Consider the following 25,065-nt stretch of genomic DNA (forward strand, 5'->3'; position numbering starts at 1 on the left):
AATCACCTGAACCCAGAAGGTGAAGGTTGTAGTGAGCCAAGATTGTGCCATTGCACTCCAGCTTGGGCAACAAGAGTGAAACTCCGTCTCCAAAAAAAAAAAAAAAAATTTGGTAAGACATGGCTTTTGGCTTTTTATCTCCTTCTCCACTTATTTTTTACCTGTGGAAAATGATTCAGAAACCGGACAGAGCTTTGCATAAGAGGTGTAAATTGTGAAGTTCCTTAACTCTGAAAATTGAAGACATAAATATATAGAATTTTCCCTTCTAGTATCACTGAGGGAAGAATAGTGGCTGTGGGAATTTGGTAGTTTGGGATATTCTGAAATTGTTTGCTGTCATTTTCATTTGTAATAAGTTTACTTGGCAAGTTCTGTACCAAAGCTATCTTGAGGGCAAAGTTTGTGAACACCTTTTAAAACACAGTTTACGTTTCTAGAAAAAAGATCTTATGCTTACTAAACAAAATTCCTTTCAGCAGTTTTCAATGACTCAGAGCCCTGATATTTGCATAGTGATTCGGCCAATGGAAGTTGACTTTGAGATAATTTTGGTTAAGATAAGTCTCCTGGTTTATGCTTTTAAAAGGTTAGGTTAATAAAGGCCTGTCCGGAATAGTATAATGTGCAGTGGTTTCCAGCCACTTTTGATTATCTCAAATGCCACCTATAGAGCTGGGTAGTAATAGTGATATTAAGGTATTATTTCAGAGGGACCCACAAGGCCAACTTTGGACTCTTGACATTAAACACTGCAAAATTCCAAAGTGCAGACAGCTTGGCAAGTTTGAGTTCTGGTGCATTCTGTTCACAACTATTTTTTTTTTTTTTTCAATAGTGCTTTTGTCTTTCTGCTAAAGGTCAGACTGTAGTTGTCGAGTACTGGTATTGTTCCTGAATTATTCGGGAAGAGGGTGGAAATATTGACTTAGTTTTTCTATTATAATATCCTATCACAATGCTGGATTTTAATGATTTAAAAATGTAAATAAAAGTATTTGCATTTTTAGACTACTTGTGAGCAGCTGCCAATTCTAAAATCACTATGGGTGTTTGCAGCTCTTTTCTGGGCTCATTTTACCCATCTTTGATCTTCTATCAACATGCAGGTCTGTGTGATGGGCTAGAACCAGCATGTATTTTGTTTAGAGTCAGACTTTGTTGGAATCCTGGTGTCACAATTTGGACCCTCGGGGCAGCACCCAGATTAAGTAACCTCTGTAATATGGGGGTGCCACCACTGCTTTGCAGAGCTGTTAGATAAAGTAATGCATATTGCCTGCTACAAAGTAGATGTTGTATTTGAGTGTAGAGGAGGGGTGTATTTGCCCATTCTCATGATGCTAATAAAGATATACCTGAGACTGGGTAATTTATAAAGCAAGAGGTTTAACAGACTCACAGTTCCACATGCGGCTAGGAAGGCCTCACAATCACGGCAGAGGATGAAGGAAGAGCAAAAGTATTTCTTACATGGCAGCGGGCAAGAGAGAACTTGTTCAGGGGAACTCCTCTTTATCAATCCATCAGATCTCGTGAGACTTATTTGCTGTCACGAGAACAGCACAAGAAAGACCCGCCTCCATGATCCAATTACCTTCCACTGGGTCGCTCCCACGACATGTGGGAATTGTGGAAGTGACAATTCAAGATGAGATTTGGGTGGGGACACAGCCAATCCATATCAAGGGGGGGTAAGGTTTAAGTGCAGAGCCATTGAGTCCAGGCTGCTGCCACGTACTCTTCCAGGGCAATGGAGGTAGTCTGAGTCTGCTCCATGGAGAGTGGCCATGAGGGACCCAGAGCTGACCTCTGCCTGCCTCAAGCCGGATTACAATTCTGTTGGGACTGTTTTTCAACTGCACCCAGCTGATCTAGAGAGAGTTTATAATTGATGTGTGTTTAGCTCTGTGTCAGCATCACTGGTTTCTTAAGGAGTCTCACTCAATTCATTGGGGCTAAAAACATGAAATGGGTTTAACTTTCTCTAGGCACTGCTTACCACTGTGCCCTGTTAAATCCCCCCTTCCAGTCTCTGAATGGTGGATTGGGCATCTTCTATCATTCTTTCATCTTTCCAAATCTCCTAATGTTACATCCAGTTCATCTTCTGTGCCTCTCCTACTCTCTCTTCTGAGCTCTAGGCCCTCTGGGATGCTGGGGTGGAGAGGAGAGGATGGAAATGGGGAGCAAGGGACTAGTAATTATTTAACTCGCCAAGCGGAGTTGGTGGTGAGAAAGTGCCTCTCGTAGCCTGCTGCTTTTGTGTGGTTTGTTCTGATGGTGGGGTGTCTGCTCAGGTGATGTGTGACTCTCTTGGGGCTGTGTTTGGCTTTACCTCAGCCTCGTTTGTGAGCAGCCTGTGCAAAGGACAGCAGTGTCCCCCTTTGGTATTGCTGGGTGTTCATGCCCCATCAGGCTTCAACTCCTCCTTCTAGTGAGTGTCCTGGTGCTTGGCCCATCAGCTGCCTGGCAGCCCAAGGGCTCCTGCCCCTCTGACCTCAACACTCCTTCAAAAGGAACTGTGTGAGTTACTGCAGTCCTGTCTCTCTGTCCAGGGGTTGTAGGGAACTGAACTGGAGCGGGAATATTCCAGTCTTCTTTCCTGGAACATTCCCTTGAGGCTCTGCTTGCATGTGGCTCCCTCAGTGGGCCTGCCACTCCCGAATCTCTGACTCAAAAATGGGTACCAGTCTCATGCTCATGGGTGTGCCCCCACTCCAGGGACTGGATGCCAAGTTCCCCCTACTCCCTGACATGCTCCGTTCTGCTGCAGTGCCAGCCTGGAAGGGAGCGGGAAACTGTGAAGTCTTCAGCTCAGCCAGCAGTCAGACTAGGAGCAAGATGCTCATCTCTCCTTCTTGCAGGTATCCTAGTCTCTCCTAGTGATTCTCTTGGAAGTCCCCCAACCCCTACCTGGTTGGGGAAGCAGACAGTAACCTGCACTAGAACCTTGCCCTCCCCATAAAGCCAACATCAACCTTTCTCCTTGTCCTTGCATGGGAAGAGGGGCTGTGGTCAGGTAGTAAGACTGGTCCTCTGACCTCCTGGGGAAGCCATAGGGGGCAGTGTCTGACCCTACTTGTTTATGGCTTTCTGAGTAGGGTACTTAGCCCTGTTGTGCTCAGCTTTGGCCTTGGCTGTATTCTAAAAATAAGGGAAACAGCCCATTTAACAATATCCTTTTTAAGGATATTAGTAATATTCTCTTTCTGTAGTGCCCAGGATGTTCTTCCTGTGCATCCTTTCCTGCAGTAGCAGAGTGAGGGCAGGACCACACTAATACTTACTGGCATTTGTGTCGGATTTGATCAGTAGGCTTAAAATGTATTTCACCTTGGAAAGGTATGGTAGGGGTCTCCATGGACATCATTTTAATTAGCTGCAGGAATTGGAGGTTCAAAGCGCCCCAAGTTTTCTTCAGTTTCCCCCTCCTGACTCTATGCCAGTGACTTAGAAATATAAAGGTGTGTTCTCTTGGATGGATTGTTTGACTTGCTGCTTCCTCTTCATATTCACCTAAGAAATGGACGGTCAAAATAAATGGAAAGTCTTACTTTAAATAGCAGAGTTGATGATTAGGTTCAGGTAATCTATTTCATTGTTCATTTATTAAGTAGATACAAGAAAGAAAAAGGAAACCACTGGGAGGGTATGAGTGAAATGGCTAGCTCTTTTTGGGAAAAGTTAATCTGGTGGCAGAGTATGGAAACTAGATCATCCAGGGGAAGAGGAGTTGGAGGTATGGAGCACTAGATTATAGGTCAGTGTTCAGACCAGAGGTCAAAGGGCCTGACCACAGTAAGTGGCAGTGGTAGTGGGAAGGAGGGGATGAAATGAGAGAGAGGCACAGAGTTGCTGGAAGCCAACAACGGACTGGAATGAGAACAGGGAATGACTTTGCAGCATTAATCTGGGATCCATGAAAGGAGAGGGTACCATGAACAGAAGTAAGGGAGTTAGAAGAAAAGACCAATTTGAGGGTGCGGAACATCAGGGCTACCCTTGGCCTATAGTGCCTTTTCAAGAAGGAAAAGATGTTCCCTCCTCCAGGCACAGGACCTGGCCTGTAGCACACAGGCTGGTCTGGGCTAGGTTCTGGTGCACAGTGTGCCACCTACACAACCATACATGATGGCCCCGGGGAAGATTCCTTTAGAGCAGCAAGGTTCCCATGGAGTAAGAAGGCCTCAACACTTCATCAAGGGCATAGCCAGACTCTAATGTCGAATGAGTGATAGTGCTTATTCCTGTATTGATTGCAGAAAAAGCCATCATGTAAGAAAAGCACTCCTTTTGACAGACACCTACCTAATCTACACATATCACAGCTTTTCTTTTTTTTATCGTGATGAAATATATATAATGTAAAATTTACCATTCTAACCATTTTTAAATGGACAATCTAGTGGCATTAAGTACATTTACAACATTGTGCAACATCATCATTCTCCATTTCCAGAAATTTTTATCTTGCAAAGCTGAAACTCTGTTCCCATTAAAAATAATTCCCTATTCCCCCTCCTCCTAGCCCCCTGGTAACCTCTATTCTACTTTCTGCCTCTGTGATCTGCCTACTTTAGATACCTCATATAAGTGGAATCATAGAATATGTGTCCTTTGGTGCCCATCTGACTTTTTAACTTAGTGTCATGTCTTCAAGTTTCATCGTGTGGCATTTATCAGAATTTTATTCCTTTTCGTGGCCAAATAACTTTGTATTGTATGGATATATACCACATTTTGTTTATCTATTCATCTGTTGCTGGGCACGTGAGTTGTTTCCATGTTTTGGTGATCATGACTGATGCTGCAGTTAACATGGGGTGCAGGTATATATTTGAGTCTTTGCTTCTAATTCTTTGGGGATATTATAATACCTATACTGGATCACAAAGTAATTCTACGTTTCACTTTTTGAGGAGCCACCAAACTGTTTTCCACAGTGGCTGCCCCATCTTACATTCCCACTAACAGTTCATAAGTGTTTCAACTTCTCATCATCCTCACCATCATTTGTTATTTTCTGTTTCTTTAAAACCAGTAGCCATCTTAATAAAGTAATATTGCATTACAGTTTTGATGTGCATTTCCCTGGTGTCCCAGTTCTACTTTTATATACCTGCTTGTCATTAAGAAAGCTCTACTTTTCAAGAATGCTGGAAAGAGCAGCTTTCCCCCGCTATAAACTCATAGCCAACCTTCACTTATATGAGAACATGCAGAGCATAGTTTCATCTCCTTTGAAATACTGTAATAAGAGTTTTAGATGTATTTGATTCAACGTGCAGAATGTTTATTTTTTGTGTGCGTGTATGTGTGTATGTGTTTGAGACAGCGACTTGTTCTGTCACCCAGACTAGCATGAAGTGGTGCAATCACAGCTCACTGAAACCTCACCCTCTTGGGCTGCAGCAATGCTCCCACCTCAGCCCTCTGAGTAGGTGGGACTATGGGCATGCAACACCATGCCATACTAATTAAAAAAAAAAATTGATAGAGATGGTGTCACACTGCTGGGCACAAGCAGTCCTCCTGCCTTGGCCTCCCAAAGTGTTGGGATTACAGGCATGGGCCACTGTGCCCGGCCACTATTTTTCAGTTAGTTGTGAGCATTTAAAAAAACAGAAGAACTCATAAAAAATCTGAATCTTCCACTTTTCAAGAAATCCCAAAGGTCAGGCCCTTGTGGTCCACATTTCCACAAGTAGCTGTGAGCTAGAGCCAAGTTGCTTACAGCCCCCACCCAGCCAGCTTCGTTCCTTACCGGTACCGGCCTCACCCCTGCAGGTATCTGTTTCCAAGCCCGCCCTGTTAGAGTGGATTTTCTGAGGCTAAAGTTAGTTTGGATTTATTCCAACTTATATAAATAATCGAGGTGATTAGATATGACTAATACTTCTGTTCTACCTAGCTACTTAATACCTCCACTGACACTTTCTTTCCTGATAAAATCTGAAATCTCTTCATTTATCCTTGCATCCCTTGAGCCCCTTGAGGGACAGGTCTTATCAACAGATTGGTTTCTACTGGTTAAAAGTTGCATTAAATTTGTCTCCTCATACCTGGAACAATTGGATATCATGTTTTGCATCTGCCCATCAGGTAGATACACCCTTTTAGCTCTGCCACATTCTAACATAGAGTGGCTCTTCTGTCATTGCCACCTAATTGTAGGCCTCTGCTTGCTAGTTGTATCCACTGTTTACGTTATAGAGAAATCTTTTCACATATGTAAGGACTTTATATCTGTGTGTGTGCCCATTCATTTAATAGTCTTTGTATATGCTAGAATTAAGGCACAAGAAATACAAATGTTTCATGTCTGTGGTCAGGAAATACAGTTAGCAATGGCTGTAGCTGTTTAGATTGTGAAGATGATAATTGGCCGCTTCAGATCCTGTGTCTTACAGATAATCAGTACTGGAAGGTGTAGGGTGAAGCTGCGTCACAGCCATGAAATGGAGGCATTGTGAAACCCAAGCCGGCCCAGAACACCCTCGCAGCATGATTTGTTATTGCACAGAGCTGGCTGTACTGCTGCTCAAGCCATATTTCCTGAAACTCAAGAACGCCAGAGTGGAATAGAGTTCTCTTATAACCAGCTCCTGTTCCCTCAAACCTTCGCATGACACCCCTTGTGGTTTTCAGCCCGTCTCTCTGTGTGGTCGCTAATGACTTCATTAAAGGTGAAGCATTTCAGTGATCAAGAGCCAGTGCTTGATGATGGTTGGAGGGACGTAAATGTGCAAGCGGGCCTCAGAGCCTAGGTGGACCGGCCTCCTTGCCTTCACTCTCAGGCATCACGGCCCTCCAGCATGTTTCTCTGAGGAGCTGTTGATCATTTGCCCAGGAGATGGAGCTGGGAACCTCGTTGTCACCAAGTCAGTACCAATGATTTGTGCTTCCTGTCAGGGAAACCTGTGGTGCATGTGTTTGTCTTCTGCTTCTCAGCCAGTTTCTTTTTGCATCCATCAATCTCTTCTTATCTGTCTTCTTTTTCCTGACTGGGCATAGTAGTCAGTTGTGAGTTTGGACTTGTATTTTCTTATTTTGTAACAGTTTGTTTCCTGGCTTCATCTTGCCCCTCCCTCCTAAAAGCTCCACTTGTCTTTTATTTCTCAAGGTAGATGGGACGAGGTTTTTTGTTTTTTGTTTTTGTTTTTGTTTTGTCAGGTTGACTTACATTTCCCCCCATTAGGGTGTGCCGCAGAAAGAAGTTTTCTCTATTTCTGATGTCTATGTCAATACAGAACAATAATGAAATTGTTAGGCAGGTGAAATGGTACTTAACTATCTGTCTGGAAACTCCTAAGCGCCTGCAAGTCTTTCTGAGTGAGAATTTACTGTGGATAGCAGTTAAGATGCCCCATTCCTGAACATGCTGTAGGAATGGGTCCTGGTAGGCATCACTTTCTAGCCAGTCCAAAGCCACGCTTTCCTGGCAGCCTGTTCCTCTCATCATCTTCCTGTTCCCATGGCCATGGCACCCCAAATGTCTGCTGCTCTGACCAAAAAGCTGGCAGACAGTAAATAAACTGACTTCTAAGATAAGAACCTTCATTTGAAACAATTTTTAACATGCCTTCTTTGTCAAGGAGTAAAGACCCTGAATCCCCCAGGGGTTCCTACAGCCCACGATGGTTCACAAGAGAGTCTACAATCCTCAGAGCCAAGAAGCACTGAGACTCAAGGACAGGGCCACTTGACAGAGAGAGCAGTTCCCAGCCGACTTGGGGCCTAGGAGGATATTCTGGGTGGCAGGGCTCTAATTGATTATTAACCTACATATAAAATCAAGGACATATAGCCAAGCACAGCAGCAAATGCTGCCACCTTGTGAGCTGCCTGTGGTTGTGCTGGGTGGAGATGGATCTAGCTAAGGCACACCAGGATGCAGCTTAGAGAGAACTTGGTCAGATTTTTACTGCTTCTGGTATAATTGGAACACTTTACTTCTTAAGCCTACTGTGTAATGTTATGTGTACAGAGTGAGTGGTTGCTTAATTAAGTGCTTTAATTTTTTTTGGTCATATATACACGTGGTGCAAAATGTAAAAGGCCCAAAGGAGGGGACAGTGAAAATTATATCTTTCTCCCACCCAGTTCCCCTTCCCAAAGGTAAACATTATTGCCAGTTTCTTTTGTAGCCTAGTGGGAATAATTTCTGAATAGTTATCCATACTTTATAGGTAACTCTATAGCGATAGAACTATATGTAGTTCTATACAGTATGTATGTAGTTATATACAGTACATATATATGTCTACAGTATATATGTAGTTATATACAGTATATATGTATATATGTACTATATGTAAATATATACATATGTAGTTGTATACAGTACATATATACATATCTATAGTTTTCTTCTATATAGTTATCTCTACATATACATACATATATACACATAACTATGTATATAAAACTATACAATTGTTACACTGTTGTGTAACATGGATGTGTATACAATAGCGATATGATTAAATATTTCTTATTAATGATGATTTCCTGCAGCCTTTCAATCTTGTTAAACACAAGGAAAATTAGAAATGGACCGAACAGAAGTGGCATCATAAAAGGCAGCTACTGTTTGGGAGCAAGGGACATGCCGTGGAGAGGAAATGTGTGGTGGTCTGAAATTGCACCAGTTTCCACTACAATTTTAAAACCATGCCTAGCCTTGCCAAAGGACCTCGGGGGCAAAGGTTAAGCCGACACACCCTTTAGGTCATGGTACACAGTATCTCTGGGCACATGGTGGACTCTGGTTTGTGCTGGACCCCTAAAAGTTATTTCCTTTTATCCCTGGTTCCCTCCCTCCCATAGGCAACATTCTGATATGTATACAATGTATCATTTAGATTTGTGTGTATTCTTGCAATGGATCTTGTTTTGTGTGTAAGTATTTTTAATTTATGCAAATGGTATGGCTATCTCATTCTGTTCCTTAGTTTTTTTTACTAGGCTTTGAAAGTTCCATCCATTTTACTAGGTGTGAATCCACTTCATTGCTATCTGTCTTTGTAGGGCCAAACTGAGATTTGGAAAATACTTGAAGCAATCTTTGTGACTTTTTACCCAGGTTTTTTCACATGTTGACACACATGACAAAAAGTGCATGTACTTTTGTGTTACTGTTTTACTCACTTTACTATTTCAACTTTCCTCCATTTTGCTAATTTGTCATAAATATTAATGGCTGTATAGTATTCCATTTATATAATCAGTTATTACTTCACACTCTCTCCTGTCATCAGACATCTGAGTTTTTTATTTTTAATATCATTGTGGTTACATGCGTATCATTGGTCTTTGTTGATTTTCTTTTTCTTAAGCCAGAACAGATGCCCAATAGGGAATTATTGAGCCAGAGAAAAATTCTCCTATAGCATGTGATGGAAGTGGCCACATTTTACCTCTTGCTTTATTTCCAGAAATGAACACAGGTGTCTATATCCATTTAATACACCCCTTTTTGGCCGGGTGTGTTGGCTCACACCTGTAATCCCAGCACTTTGGGAGGCCGAGGTGGGCAGATCACTTGAGGTCGGGAGTTCAAAACCAGCCTAGCCAACGTGGTGAAACCCCATCTCTACTAAAAATACAAAAATTGGTCAGGTGTGGTGGCGTGTGCCTGTAATCTCAGCTATTCCGGAGGCTGAGGCAGGAGAATCCTCGAACCTGGGAGGCAGAGGTTGCAGTGAGCTGAGATCATGCCACAGCACTCCAGCCTGAGGGACAGAGTGGGACTCCATTTCAAAAAAACAAAACAATACACCACTTTTTATTTGTAGTGCACTATACTTAGAGCTGTTGCCATAGGAATTGATATACCAGGCGTCATGGTGGTCAGCAGACAAATAGGAAACTCCTGTTATGTCGTCAGAATGAGTTGCAGAGAGTACCATCTGCTACCTGTATTGTACATCTTTCTGTTCCTCTGTCACGCCTGGCACAAGAGCAGCATTGGTTTAATCATCAGCAGCCCTTCTGCTCTCTGTAGTCAGGATTGGCAGTAACTCATTGGTGGGCAACACTGCCTTGGTCTTGCCGCTTGCACTGTGAACTGTAACTACGGACACACATGTCAGGAAAGAATGGTGCTTGGGATGCTCCTCCTATCTGTGCCTCAAACGTTTTCACTCGAGGGATATTAAAAAGTGGCCTACTGCTTATAAAGACTGTGTGTCAGTGAAGAGGAAGAGGTGGGAGTGGAGAGTGGGAGGCATTTGCAAGAACATATGTTGGATTCTTTTTTTCTCTTCTTGGTGACAATGATTGACGGCATCTAGTGAGTCCCTGTTTGTCACTTCCTTGGTACAGCTGGTAGTGGAGGTGGGGGAAATCAATAAGGGCTGGACAAAGGACATAGCTAGAGGAAGAAAGCACTGCAAATATGGTATTAAGATGACATTCCTCACAGTTGAATTTTTCACTGTGCTATTACTTCACACTACCTGCTGCGAGCTATTCTCTTTTGATCCTTTAGGCTGTAGAGGAATCAGTCTGTGTAACTCTCCCTCATTCACCACCTCCAAGAAAGGGTTAACTTTGGACATAAGATAACTGTAGTTTAAGGGGAGGAAGAGAAGGAAGGAAATTCATACTGGATACAGCTTTTGCCAGTTTTGTTTCTTCTATGTTGAAATATGGGCTGGCTTTATGGCATTCTCTTGGTGTTCTGGAATGTCCATTATTTAACAATTCCATATTGAATACTTGCTTGGGGCTTAGAAGAGGGAAGTCAAGTGTAGGAAGGAGTTGTGGCAATTTAAGTAAGTTTACAATGATCTTATTAAGCTTGTTGCTTTCATTTTCCTGCCTACGTTGGGGCAAAGACGTGTTAAAAGTGCAAGAACAGTGATTATTTTGTGGTTAGAGCATGTGCACAGTGTAGACAAACCCAGGAAGGAGAATCTGCTTCATCAAGTCTTAAGTTGTTATTTAGACCAAAATGTATGCGTAAGCCTCAGATGACTGTTGATGTGCCAGGAAACTTCTGCTGAGTACTTTCGGTTCTTTCTTCTTTACTTTACCTCTGCACCCCAGCTCATGGTTATCTTGTAAAACTGAAGGTGCTTTGCACTGCAAACAGACATGACAGCTCAGTCTCCCCTGTAGCAAGTTCTAGGGAAGGCAGGTTGGCAGAGTCCCATTTTTGAGCTCAGTTCTCCAAGGCCCTTTGGTCAGCTTATTTTCCTGCAGGGTGTCACATCCCACAGTAGTCTCCACCTGGAAGACATTGGATCTCATATGTTCAGATCAGTGTAGCCACGCTGCTCTGTGGAGAACAGTGTGATAAATCCTTGGTAGCATTACGCTTTAAACTGGTGGCCACTTGCCTACCTCCTTTTAATTTCATTTTGTTAACAATTGTTTCTTGAGGACCTGTTGCATGCTGGGTGCTTTTTTCCTGGGTGATTTCACATTTAGCATCTGTTTTCATTCTCATGACTTCTCTGTGAGGTAGCAAGTATTGTACCCAGTTTTCTGATAGAGGAAATTGTGGCCCAGAGAGATTGTTGTACCCCAAAGTAATGAAGATGAATACAGTTGCAGAACCAAGTTAGAAGCCAGATTTTTGGAGATCCAAGGTCCAGTGAACACAGCTGTACCCCCACAGACACTTCCGAAAGTGACCACAGCCTCTTCAGCCAGTCCTGAAGAGTATGTTCACCTTCATCTGTCTTAAAGCACAGGCACACCTGGCTTTGGGAAAGCATAGTTTATCAAGATCTGAATTGGCTCATTTTAGTTTTAGAAAAGGTTTCACCTAAGGCTTCTGCTTAAGAAGAGAGCATTCCTAGGAAGTGAGCTTAAGCCCTGTTCACCCTATTAATCTTAAGTGATTTGTCAGAGCAGAGTGGCAGAGAGGTGTCCTGCAGAGGTGACAACCTGAATTTAAATCACAGCTCAGCCGCTTACTAGCTGTGTAATCTTGAGCAAATTACTTAACTCTCTGAGCCTCTTCTTCCTTCTCTATTAAAGGGGAGTGATATCAATCTCATCAGATTAGTGTGAGAATACATTCATATAAGTGCCAAGTACCTGCTAAGTGCTAGTCCATGTGCTAAGTAAATGTGAGCTGCAATTGTTTGCCATTGGCATTATCAGTAGAGTGGGAGTCTCATTATAGCAGAAACCTGGCTCTCCTGAACATATGTAAATATTTACATAGCCCCTACTAAATGCCATTTAAGAGTGTATCTAGTGTAAGGCAATAGGATGTGTTTAGCAGGAGGAGTGGATTTGTTCAGGGGGTGCAACAGACTGGGATGGGAGAAGAAGGCATGTTTGATAGTCAAAATGCTGGCATACTTCCTGCGCAAGGAAGTCTGTATGGCTAAACAGTGCTGAACTAAACAAATACTGCTGAAGGTCAGGTGTGAACAGTGAATCATATTGGCGGGGCATGGTCTGGGATATGGTGGTGAGCAGTAAAAACTACAATAGCTACCATGAAAGGTACCTACTATATGCCAGGCACTGTTCTAGTGCTTTTCTCCTATTAGCCCTTGGAAGCAGTTCTATTATTATCCCATTTTGTAGATTAGGAAACAGACTCAGATTAATTCAGTTACCCAAGGGGCACGTAACTGGTAAGTGGCAGAGCTTTGGTTCAGTCTCAGGCGTCGAGCTCTGGAGTGTGTGTGTGTGTGTGTGTGTGTGTGCTTTCAACCATTGTGTTAGATGCCTCTCAAGACAGATAAGGTCCTTGCTATTGTAGAATTCACAGTCTAACTGAGTGAGCCAGTCAAACTAATAAGTATTATATCTAGTCTGCCAGGTAGTAATAAATGCAGTGAAGAGAAAATTGGGTGAGGAATTTTAGAGGATGATGGGAGTTGATGTTTTAGCTAGTGTATTAGTTTGTTCAGGCTGCCATAAACAAAATACCACAGATTGGGAGGCTTAAACAACAGAAATTTACTTTCTCACAGTTTTGGAGGCTGGAAATCCAAGAGCAAGGTGTCAATGTGTTTGGTTTCTTCTGAGGCCTCTGTCCTCGGCTTTGCAGATGGCCCTTTCACTATGTCCTTCTGTCTTCCCTCTATGAGCGTTCAGCCCTGGGAGCTCTCTGTGCCCTGATCACCTTTTCTTATAAGGACAGTAGCCACACCTAATCACCTCATTTTAACTTAACCATCTCTTTAAAGGCCCTGTCTTCAAATACAGTCTCATTTTGAGGTATTAGGGGTTAGGACTTCAACATATAAATTTGGGGAGGGGAACACAGTTCTGACCATAACACTCTGCCCTCTGCACCCCCAAAATTCATGTCCTCCTCACAGCAAAATACATTCACCTGCATTCAACAACCTAAGCCTTAACCCATTCTAGCATCAATTCTAAGTCCCAAATCTCATCTAAATATCATCTACATCAAAGTGAGAGAGACTCAAGTATATGATTCATCTTGAGGCAAAAATTCTTCTCCAGCTGTGAACCCGTGAAACCAGACAAGTTATTTGCTTCCAAAATACAATGATGGGGACAGGCTTAGGATAGACATTTCCATTCCAAAAGGGAAAACTTGGAAGGAAGAAAAAAGGGTCATGGGTCCAAAGCAAGTCCAAAACCTAGCTGGGCAAATTATGTTCAATTTTAAGGCCTGAAAATAATTCTTTTTACATGATGATCTGTCCTCCAGGCCCATTGGGCTGGCAGAATTTTTTTTTTTTTTTTTTCAGTATTTATTGATCATTCTTGGGTGTTTCTCGGAGTGGGGGATTTGGCAGGGTCATAGGACAATAGTGGAGGGAAGGTCAGCAGATAAACATGTGAACAAGGGTCTCTGGTTTTCCTAGGCAGAGGACCCTGCTGCCTTCCGCAGTGTTTGTGTCCCTGGGTACTTGAGATTAGGGAGTGGTGATGACTCTTAAGGAGCATGCTGCCTTCAAGCATCTGTTTAACAAAGCACATCTTGCACCGCCCTTAATCCGTTTAACTCTGAGTGGACACAGCACATGTTTCAGAGAGCACGGGGTTGGGGGTAGGGTCACCGATCAACAGGATCACAAGGCAGAAGAATTTTTCTTAGTACAGAACAAAATGGAGTCTCCCATGTCTACTTCTTTCTACACAGACACAGTAACAATCTGATCTCTCTTTCTTTTCCCCACATTTCCCCCTTTTCTATTTGACAAAACCGCCATCGTCATCATGGCCCGTTCTCAATGAGCTGTTGGGTACACCTCCTAGACGGGGTGGCGGCCGGGCAGAGGGGCTCCTCACTTCCCACACGGGGCGGCCAGGCAGAGGCGCCCCTCACCTCCCTCCCGGATGGGGCGACTGGCCGGGCGGGGGCTGCCCCCCACCTCCCTCCCGGACGGGGGTGGCTGGCCGGGCAGAGAGGCTCCTCACTTCCCGGACGGGGTGGCTGCCGGGCGGAGGGGCTCCTCACTTCCCAGACGGGGCGGCTGCGGGGCGGAGGGGCTCCTCACTTCTCAGATGGGGCGGCCGGGCAGAGACGCTCCTCACCTCCCAGACGGGGTGGCGGTCGGGCAGAGACGCTCCTCACCTCCCAGACGGGGTCGGGGCCGGGCAGAGGCAATCCTCACATCCCTCACATCCCAGACGGGGCGGCGGGGCAGAGGCGCTCCCCACATCTCAGATGATGGGCGGCCGGGCAGAGATGCTCCTCACTTCCTAGATGGGATGGCAGCTGGGAAGAGGCACTCCTCACTTCCCAGACTGGGCGGCCGGGCAGAGGGGCTCCTCACATCCCAGATGATGGGCGGCCAGGCAGAGACACTCCTCACTTCCCAGACAGGGTGGCGGCCGGGCAGAGGCTGCAATCTCGGCACTTTGGGAGGCCAAGGCAGGCGGCTGGGAGGTGGAGGTTGTAGCGAGCCGAGATCACGTCACTGCACTCCAGCCTGGGCAACATTGAGCACTGAGTGAGCGAGACTCCGTCTGCAATCCCGGCACCTCGGGAGGCCGAGGCAGGCAGATCACTCGCGGTCCAGAGCTGGAGACCAGCCCAGCCAACACGGCGAAACCCCGTCTCCACCAAAAAATGCAAAAACCAGTCAGGCGTGGCTGCGCGTGCCTGCAATCCCAGGCACTCTGCAGGCTGAGGCAGGAGAATCAGGCAGGGAGGTTGCAGTGAGCCGAGATGGCGGCAGTACAGTCCAGCCTCCGCTGGGCATCAGAGGGAGACCTTGCAAAGAGGGAGACGGGAGAGGGAGACGGAGAGGGGGAGGGGGAGGGGAGGGGGAGGGGAGGGGGAGGGAGAGGACTGGCAGAATTTCTTCAAGGCCCCAGGTGGCAGCCTTGCTTTTGAGGCCTTGGACAATGACAGCCTCACCCTCTCACACTGAGACAGAGAGAGCCTCACCCTTTGAAATGGAAGAGAGCCTTCCTCGCCCCTGGGCCTGAACACTTTCGTTGTGGGGTGAGAGTAGTAGCTTTAGGGACCATTCTTCCTTTTTCTTGAAGGATAATACATGCTCACACCCAGAGCCAGATAGATCTATTGTCCCATCCTGTAGCATCTCAGAAGCCTGCTGCTGTTGTGTCCTGTCTCTGTCCCCTTTAGTCCAAGTCAGCAGTGTTTCTGCTACTGGTAGAACCCCGTCTCTATTCCTGGCTTCTGTTGAGATGGCCAATTAGATCTGTGAGTCCCACTGTCACTCTTTAGGGAGTGATTGTCCAGTCACACTGTTGGTGCCCTCTCCAGAACACATTCTCATTTTTTTGCAATATGGATAAGCTGAGAATTTTCCAGATCTTTAAGTTCTGGTTTGTTTAGCCTAACAATTTTTTCTTTAATTTCTCTCACTTCTCTTGCACTTTAATAGAAGCAGTAAGGAGAAAGGAAAGTGGCAAGGAAAGCACAACAGGCTTTCAACACTTGGCTTAGAAATCTCAGCAGAATATCCAAGGTTGTCACTTACAAGCTCTACCTTCCACAAAACACAAAAATGCAATTCAGCAATGTTCTTGGCCATTTTATAACAAGGATTGCCTTTTTTCAGTGTCTAATAACATGTTCCTCATTTCTGTCTAAAATCTCACTAGAATCACCTTTCATGTCCATATTTCTAGCAACAGTCTCTCTTAGCATCTGAGACAACGTTCTGTGGAACACAGTTTGGGGAAGCTTGCCAAACTCAACAGATTATACTATATCATCTCCCCCTGAAAGAGAAGAGTGAGACATAAGTCCTCTGCAGTCTGTTCCACTCCTACTAGATCTTGAAGTCATATGTTGATTCTTTTCATGGTATTGTGTGCCTGTGTTTTAAGGAAAATAATTAGCATTCTTAAAGCAAAGCAAAAATTTTACTAAAGAAAATAATTAGCCTTTCATGTCACTTTCTTAGAGTGAACCAAATAAGTTTTGTATGAGAGAAAGATAGGGGCCCGTAGATGCCCACTTTAGTTTTGCAGGGTGGGTTCCTACAGCCACGTTCCCCTGGGCTAATAAGGCTAATGGAATCATGGTGGCAGTTTTGCATTGGCCTCCAGCTAATGAAAAGTTTTGCCATGAGAACTTAACTTAGTCCTTCTGATGCTTTTACTGCCTGTTGACACAGAAGGTGGAAAATGACCAACTATGCTATACATAAAAACAAAGTCCAGATATTCTTATATTCTTTTAGAATATGTCTTATGTGCTGATTTTTAAAATATTAAGGGAAAAATTGACTTGTGATACTTGAAAGTTCATAGAACAGGGCACTGCATTAAAACAGGGCTTATGCAAATAAAACACATTTTTCTGTTCTTGGCCAGCAGTTCTACCGTCAGGATACTTATTCCATACAGCACTGTATGATACAGACCAAGATTTATAGTTGGTGATTTCCTGAGTAACAACTCAGATAGCAAATGCCTCCACAAAACAACTTTCGTATGTTCTGCAAGGCACAAAGTAGTACAATAGAAAGGATTGTTTGCTTCAGGATTTTTGTGGGGTGGTTTCTTTTTCTTTTTCTTTTTTCTCCCACAAGACAGAATTTTTCTTCTTGCCCTAAAATTTGAAAGATTTCTCCTTTCTCTCCCCTTCTGCCACAAGTAGTCCCACCCTAAAAAGGAAGATGAGGTTCTCTAGCAACCCATAAGATGCTCATAAGAAATAGCTTAAACTTTTGCTTTGAAACAAGACATTCACATATTGGGGTTGTGGGCCAATAAACTAGTCAATAGAAAGAATGGGGAAGAAGCAGTGAATGCAAGGACAGTGTTGGTGGGGAAGGGGGAATATTCTGGTTTTCGTTTCTGTGGATTTTTAGGCCAAATTTGAACACAGGCTCTTGATGACACATGAAGTATCTCTAACTTGATTTTATGTATGCACACTTTATGTACTATCTGTACATAAGTCATAGACATATAGATTGGACTAGAATTTAGAGTTCAGAAATGAACACTCACTTGTACAGTCAGTTAATTTTCAATAAAGGTGCCAAGACAGTTCAACAAAGGTAGTCTTTTCAACTGGTGGTGCTGGGACAACTGGGTAGCCACATGCAAAAGAATGAAGTTAGACTCTCACCTCACATCATATACAGAAAGTAGTTCAAAATGGATCAAAGACCTAAACTATGAGATAAAAGAGAAGAAAACATAGGTATAAATATATAACATATAAAATACCAAAAATATAAACAACAAAAGAAGAAATAGATAAATGAGACTTCATCAAGATAAAAACATTTTTGCTTCAGATAACACCATTAAGAAAGTGAAAAGACGGCTCACAGAATGGAGGAAACACTTTCAAATCATATACCAAATAAGAATCTTGTATACTGAATATGTAAGGAACTCTTATAACTCAAAAGTAAAAAGACAAATAATTCAACTAAAACATGAGCAATAGATTTGAAAGACATTTCTCCAAAAGTATATAAATGGGCTATATGCATATAAAAAGAAGCTGAATATCATTAGCCATCAGGGAAATGAAAATCAAAACCATAATGAGATGCCACTTTGCATCCACTAGGATGGCTGTAATCAAAAAGACAGAAGAATATTGGTAAGGATGTGAAGAAATTGAAATCCTCATACACTGCTGGTGAGAATGGGAAGTGGTACAGCTGTTTTGGAAAACAGTCTGGAAGTCCTAAAAAGATGAAACATAGAGTTACCATATGACCCAGCAATTCTACTCTTGGGTATATACCCAAGGGAAATGAGAACATACATCAGTGCAAAAACTAGTTCACAAGTGTTTACAGCAGTATCATTCACAATAGTCAAAAAGTTATGGGGGAAAATAACATGTCCAAAAACTGATGAATAAATAAATAAATGTGATATATCCATACAATGAAACATTATTCAAGAAAAAGATATGAAGTCCAGATACATCTTACAACATAGATGAACCTTGAAAACATGCTAAGTGAAAGGTCACAAAAGGCCACATATTGTATGAGTCTATTTATATTTACATGAAATGTTCAGAATAGGCAAATCTAAAGACAGTAGATTAGTGTGTTAGGGGCTTGGGGGTAAATGGAGAATGACTGTTTATGGATATAAGGTTTCTTTTTCGGTGTAAGGAAGATGTTCTAAAATTGATAATGATGATGGTCTTTCAACCCTGTGAATATACTACAAACCATTGCATTATACGTGTTAAGTGTTGAGTGTATGATGTGTGGATTATATCTCAATAAAGATGTTAAACCACACACAGTCATATTACATAATTACACAGTCATATTGAATTCCGTTATAATTTCAGATTTATGGACTAACACTGAATACTCAGAGTATTAAGCGACCTGTTCCAGTGCATATAGCTGGTGATCACAGAGCCAGACTTCCTGAACATCAGGCCAACTGTCTCTCCATTGTGATTGTTACAGGAAGTTTGACCCCAACATACCATACAAGTCACACTTAAAATTTGTATTGGTGTGGCCAGGTACCACTCACTTGTTCATGTAACAGATCAGCAAGCCCCTGAAACCGAGGCTGGCAATAGCAGTTTAATTCCTGCTCCTGTAAGGTTCAGTAGTGTAGGCTGGGGGTGAGGAGACACAACAGCTGCTGCTGCTTTTCTTTTTTTTAACCAACAAGAATGACCTTGAAAACATGGGGTTCTTTACCACACAATTATTCAGGGACCCTGTCTGATGGAAGTTCTTCTACCTTCTCCAGCCAGCAGATGGGGAGGAGAGAGAGGAGGTTTATCCATGGGAGGTTTTCCTGAGCCACACTTAGGGGTGGTGCACCTCTCACACTCATTTCCCCACACCTTCTGTGGTTACAACCCAGTCACTTGGCACCTTACAGATGCTGTGGGGCTACGAATGCAGACTCTGGTATTGAAGGAGCTACATTGTCTGGGGTATATACCCTGGGGTTTGTTGTCGCCTGCCAGGAAAATTTAGGACACATACACAAGGAGTTTAGGAGCAGAAGGTTAATAGGTAGAAGAGAAGAGAGAGAAACAGCTTCCTCTGTAAAGGAGGGGGTCTCCCAGCAGAAAGGACCTGCTGGTGGTGAATGCCTCGAGTGTTATAGTAGGGTTTCAAGAGGCAGTGTCTGATTTACCTAGAGCTCATAGATTGGTTCAATCAGGTATGACATTTACATAGTGCGGGGAAGGCTGGTTTCCCCACCCTAATCTTCTTATGCAAATGGGCTGTCCAGTTAGGGCCATCTTGTCTGCTCCTTTACAGTACAGGTGGCTGGCAGAGAAGGGAAGATGGAGCCGCCATCTTGAACATGTCTACTCCTTAGTTCCCGCTGGCATTCACCTGTGCAAGCTCCCAGCTTGCTGGCTGCTCTTTGATAGAAAATGATTTGGGGCTGCTTTTCATTAAAAAGAAGAACCTTACCAAGGACTCCCATACCCTTGCTATCTGCCTGCGTGATTTCTTCTTAACTCCTATATCCCTATCTGGGCTTGAAGTTTTCTCCTTATACTTAAAAAATCAATCCAAAGGCTAGTCAGCCCGCATGATGACTGGGCACAAGTTTAGAAGTTTCATATCATGGCTCCTGCTTCATTGTGAGGGATTTTAATACCTTTAGAGCAATGTTAAGTACCCAGTCTGACTGGTTATTCTGTCAGCAGAGTCTGTCACCTGTCCTAGAAGAATAGTCTTGTTTGTTGCTCCTAGACTGGCTGATGATTGATAGGAGTTTCCAAGTTGTATCTTATTGGAAGGACCTTTGAGAGCTCTAGGCCTGTGGGCCTTCCTGAGGAGGTGACTGCATTTGAATAGGCTCTAAGTTTCCTATATCTTGCCTCTGCCCTGCTACAGCACTACAAGGGGAAACCTGGACCATTTACCCTGCCTGTTGCAAGGTAGGTGACAAAGAGGAAGTTCTGAGAGAACAAATGAAGCCCCAGGAATCTACTCAACCCTGACAGTGAATATACTATCTTCTGACCTCATACTGAAACAGTGACAACATCTATGTCTCCAAGCCGTGGAACTCTACCGCTACTCTGGAAGCAGCCCTGCAGTGTTTTGTTATCACTTTTGTTTTACACTAGGCTAGAGGATTCAGTTTGGTGAGTTGTGAGAAATTAAAAGTTGGAATTAGAGGAGCAGAGGCTGGCCCCTGTCAGCTTATTGAGCTGGGTAGCCTTAGCCTTTTCTGAGCTTTGGAAAACCTCAGATATCATGTCAGAAAATCAACAGAATCTGAGAAAAACACCGGAAAATCATCAGCAAATGGTGATTCTGATAGCATCTCTTCCTTATGGGGTCATCATGAGAAGATTCCATGATAATCCCCATAAAGTATCAAGTCCAGATTTTGGCAAAAGATCATGCTCAATAAACACTAGTTGTCATTGATAATAATAGCATCATCTTTTGACTTTCAAGGCAGAGAAAAAGAGGTATCTCCATTGATGCCTAATGTTAAAAAAAGTAACATTTTGTAAATCTTTGGCAATATCTTAAAATATTTTATGATGTAACTGTGATGCTTGGAAAACTTTCTTTTTAGCAGTCAGAATCTTTCATAACCATATGTTAAGTACTTGCTTTGTGTAAACAGGTTGCCAGGCACAAAGGGATTATAAAGAGAAAGAAGAAATGGCCTTTGCCTTTGAGCAGTTCATAATGTCATAAGAATTAGCCATGGCTATATTTTAAATAGGTTGTAGCTAACCTAAGTTTTTGCTATCAGTGTTTTATTTATTTATTTATTTTTAATTTTTTTTGAGACAGAGTCTCACTCTGTCGCCCAGGCTGGAGTGGAGTGGTGCGATCTTGGCTCACTGCAACCTCCGCCTCTCAGATTCAAGCGATTCTCCTGCCTCAGCCTCCTGAGTAGCTGGGACTGCAGGTGCCCATTACGATGCCTGGCTAATTTTTGTCTTTAGTAGAGATGGGGTTTCACCATGTTGGCCAGGGTGGTCTTCAACTCCTGACCTCAAGTGATCCGCCTGCCTGCGCCTCCCAAAGCGTTGGGATTACAGGCATGAGCCACCATGCCCGGCCTGGTATCAGTGTTTTAAACCTACTGCACATATATCCTAATATAGACAAAAATGTGATTACCTCTTTTTAAAAACAAGCCCAACTCTAAAATATCATACTTCGGGGAGCTTTTATTTTTGCCTCCTGCCCCTTGCTCCCAATTGTCAACTTATCTCCCCCTACTCTTGCTACCAATTGTCAGTTTACCCCCAGCCCCTACCCCTCACACATATACCCCAATTTCCAGGTTGTTATAAAGCATTCATATATTTTTGTGTAAAAAATGATTTCTTGCATTTTTCCAAGATAATTATTTGAAAATGTAATTATTTGAAAACAGATTGTGTTTTAATGTGAAATCACCTAATACCCTAATTAGTTTATTTAGCTTAGAAACTTGGTCTAGAGCAGTGGCTCTTAACTTGGCCATATTTTTTTTAAGGCGGCATTACTATTGATTTCTTCTTTACAAAATTTAGCAAGTCCATGGTATTCTTACTTCAGTTTATTTGACACAAGGCCCACATGAGATGTGAATGATATGCATGATATGTGAAAAGGAAGTTCATCATCATCACATCTTACCTGTTCCTTGTTCTTCCAGTTTCACAGCCGTTAGAATGTTAGAGCTGGCAAGGACTTTATCACCAAATTCTTATCACCAACACCCCTCCTTTAGCAGAGGAGAGAAACTGAAGCTCAGAGAGGTGAGGGTACTTGCTTGCAGTCACACCACCACTATGTGGCTGACTCCTGGTGCAGAACCCTCCCTTCAACCCAGTGCCTCTCCCTGGCTGGTAATCTCTTGTCTGTTTTTCTTTTTTTTTTTCTTTTTGAGACGGAGTCTCGCTCTGTCGCCCAGGCTGGAGTGCAGTGGCGCGATCTCGGCTCACTGCAAGCTCCACCTCCTGGGTTCACACCATTCTCCTGCCTCAGCCTCCCGAGTAGCTGGGACTACAGGCGCCCGCCACCACGACCGGCTAATTTTTTTGTATTTTTATTAGAGACGGGGTTTCACCGTGTTAGCCAGGATGATCTCTATCTCCTGACCTCGTGATCCGCCCGCCTCAGCCTCCCAAAGTGATGGGATTACAGGCGTGAGCCACCGCACCTGGCCCTCTGTTTTTCAACTCCCTTTTCTGAGCTGTCACCAAGTCCTCTTACTGTTTCCTGGAACTGTCTTTCGGTTGTCTTCCTTCCCGTTTCTTCCTGGCTGATCCCGTCCCTCAACATCTCACAATGGGAAAGGCCTGACAGAGGAGTCGGTCTCTGAGGCGTCCATTATACCATATTAATTTTCTCTAATTACCACTGTCAGCACATTACTCCTCTTCGGTGAGGCTGCCAGGAGCTCCCTGCTTCTTGTGGCTACAAATGTCAACACCGTCCTCACATGCTAGACCTTCCAGAGCCTAGCTTCACGGGAAGGCCCAGCTTCATTGCTCTTTTCTCCCTGTGAGCCCCAGAGGCCCACTGTCTTCCCTGGGTTTTCTTCGTGAGTCAGCCATGTTTCTTTTATGCCTTTAGTTTCTGTTCTCCCCAGCTTCCGGTTCTCTCCCTGCCTTTCCAACTACAGCAGGTCCTCCAATAATGTCGTTTCATTCGATGTCATTTCCTCATAATGTTGATGAAGAAAAAGAAGGGGCCACTGTGGAGTTCGTGTGGTCTCCCCAGGTCTGCGTGGGTTTTCTCTGGGGACTCGTTTTCTTCCACGTCCCAAAGATGTGCATGTTAGGTTAACTGATGTGGCTACATAGTCCCCACTGAGTGTGGTGGGGGTTTGAGTGTATCCTCCAATGGGAACGCATCTTGTCCAGGGTTGGTGCCCACCCCCCTACCTCTGAGCTGCTGGGATAGGTTCCGGCCACCCAAGACCCTGACCTGGAATAAGAGGGTGAAGAATTTTCTTACTTTTTTTGTTTTTCCAGTCCCTTCATTATACTAAAAGTTTATGTTAATCTTTCTTAATTGTATGTATAGCTCACATTTATTTCAGTGTTTAACATAGAAGTGTTTTGGTCTTTATTTAGAAGTTTGTTGATGTTTTTGTGACCAGAAATATGCAATAGGAACTTAATTATTTTTTAGAGACAGAGTCTTGCACTGTTGCCCAGGCTGTAATGCTGTGGCCTGACTACAGCTTACTGCAGCCTCAAACTCCAGGGCTCAAGCAATCCCCCTACCTCAACCCCCTGAGTAACTGGGACCACAGGTGCAAACCACCATGCCTGGCTCTTTTTTTTTTTTTTTTTTTAAGAGAGCCAGGGCCTCACTGTGCTGCCCAGCCTGGTTCAAACTCCTGGTCTCAAGCAATCCTCCCACCTCACCCTCCCAAAGTGCTGGAATTACAGGCATGAGCCATAGCGCCCAGTGTAACTTGTTTATAGAAATTAGCCTATGGTAAAATTGATTTTGTTATACATTATTTTGCTTAAATTCATAGTTCCCAAGTAGGTGAGGACTTACTGTACTCCATTCTTCAAGGCCAAGTCCAGGTTCTACCACCTTTTTAATGTTTTCCTTGATTGCTGCAGTGATAACCCAATTATTCCCCTTTACTCCCAAACTTTTTCTGATTATATCCTACCATGTAGCATTGCACATCATAGCCTCTCATATGGTTCTCTGGCTTTTCCTTAGAATTGTGTTGCCTTCTTAATTATATTTAATGCTCTTTGAAGGCAAGGCTTATGTTTATATTTTTATCATATATACTATTCCCCTCCCATCCGTTGGAAATATGTTCAAAGACCCTCAGTCGATGCCTGAGACTGAAGATAGCACCAAACCTTGAATAGACTGTTTTTGCATATAGATACATACCTATGCTCAGGTTTAATTTATAAACTAGGAATAGAAAGAGATTAACAACAGTAACTAATAATAAAACAGAACAATTATAACAATATACTATGATAAAAGTTCTGTGAATGTGGACTCTGCCTCTGTCTCAAAATATCTTATTGTACTGCACTTACCCTTCTTGTGATGAGGAAGGGATGGGAGTGGGATAGCATGAGATTTCATCACACTACTCAGAACGATATGCAATTAAAAACTCATGAATTTTGTATTCCTGGAACTTTCCATTTAATATTTTCAGACTAGTTGACCTCAAGTAACTAAAACTGCAGAAAGTGAAACCTTGGATAAGGGGGGTCTACTGGATTCCAATTTTATAGTGCCTAATAAATGGTCAGTAATAACCACTTATTAGGGGCTTGTTGAACTTCTACAAGTTGTTGTTCAGAGCTACAAGCAGTTCAGACATATTACAGTGTTGGCAACTTGGGTTGGGATCAGTTGTTAATATTGGGGCACGGTGCTCTACTGTTTAAGTGTTGGCAGGATCAGTGGCTACTGTGTTAATGATCCTCTAGGGAGACTGTCTATATAGATATGGTGCTCACGCTAATAGTTGGATTTGTAGATCAGTAGCTGGGTGGCAGGGAGGCTGGGGGCTCCCTGCTGAGAACTGCACACCGGGTTCTTGAATCTTGCAGTAGGTAATAGTTACTTGAGAAAGGAGTATCCTCATGACTCTGGCAGATCCTCAGCACACCATTGTGACATGTGAACTGGCCTGTCTCCTCTCCCACTGTAAGTCCTTGAGCCAGTAATGACCTTGGTGTTCTCTTTTCTACAATACTGG

The 25,065-nt window shown here is 43.4% G+C and overlaps 1 protein-coding gene across 8 annotated transcripts in view, besides 4 other annotated features; it reads left to right on the forward strand.

Annotated features, from left to right (window-relative positions):
• IQGAP2 (IQ motif containing GTPase activating protein 2) overlaps window positions 1-25,065 on the forward strand; it is a 304,848-nt gene that overhangs the window by 133,386 nt on the left and 146,397 nt on the right. The window contains exons 1-2 of one of the 8 annotated variants that reach the window (XM_047416643.1): window positions 10,739-10,781; window positions 20,241-20,284. The exons of 4 other annotated variants lie outside the window; for them this stretch is intronic. Coding sequence is in view for 1 of the 4 variants with exons in the window: in XM_024454336.2 (XP_024310104.1) it covers window positions 6,745-6,884 (140 nt within the window). In the remaining 3 variants the exon portion in view is untranslated. Of the gene's footprint in view, window positions 1-6,502; window positions 6,885-10,738; window positions 10,782-11,036; window positions 20,285-25,065 lie in introns of those variants that run through there. 3 more of the 8 variants (XM_024454336.2, NM_001285460.2, XM_047416642.1) reach the window with 3 other exon arrangements.
• Window positions 7,876-7,925: a silencer, noted in NCBI's record as "silent region_16105". NCBI's record gives its function as "represses an Ori minimal core promoter by ATAC-STARR-seq in GM12878 lymphoblastoid cells {active_cell/tissue: GM12878}" and the evidence as "EXISTENCE:reporter gene assay evidence [ECO:0000049][PMID:35858748]".
• Window positions 10,860-11,189: an enhancer, noted in NCBI's record as "active region_22690". NCBI's record gives its function as "activates an Ori minimal core promoter by ATAC-STARR-seq in GM12878 lymphoblastoid cells {active_cell/tissue: GM12878}" and the evidence as "EXISTENCE:reporter gene assay evidence [ECO:0000049][PMID:35858748]".
• Window positions 20,109-20,603: a silencer, noted in NCBI's record as "fragment chr5:75852604-75853098 (GRCh37/hg19 assembly coordinates)". NCBI's record gives its function as "represses an EF-1alpha promoter that drives an FKBP-Casp9 reporter gene in an ReSE screen in phorbol 12-myristate 13-acetate-treated (for megakaryocytic differentiation) K562 erythroleukemia cells {active_cell/tissue: K562(+PMA)}" and the evidence as "EXISTENCE:reporter gene assay evidence [ECO:0000049][PMID:32094911]".
• Window positions 20,132-20,251: an enhancer, noted in NCBI's record as "active region_22691". NCBI's record gives its function as "activates an Ori minimal core promoter by ATAC-STARR-seq in GM12878 lymphoblastoid cells {active_cell/tissue: GM12878}" and the evidence as "EXISTENCE:reporter gene assay evidence [ECO:0000049][PMID:35858748]".

This window comes from Homo sapiens, chromosome 5, assembly GCF_000001405.40.
Source record: "Homo sapiens chromosome 5, GRCh38.p14 Primary Assembly".
In the NCBI taxonomy this organism is placed as follows: Eukaryota; Metazoa; Chordata; class Mammalia; order Primates; family Hominidae; genus Homo; species Homo sapiens.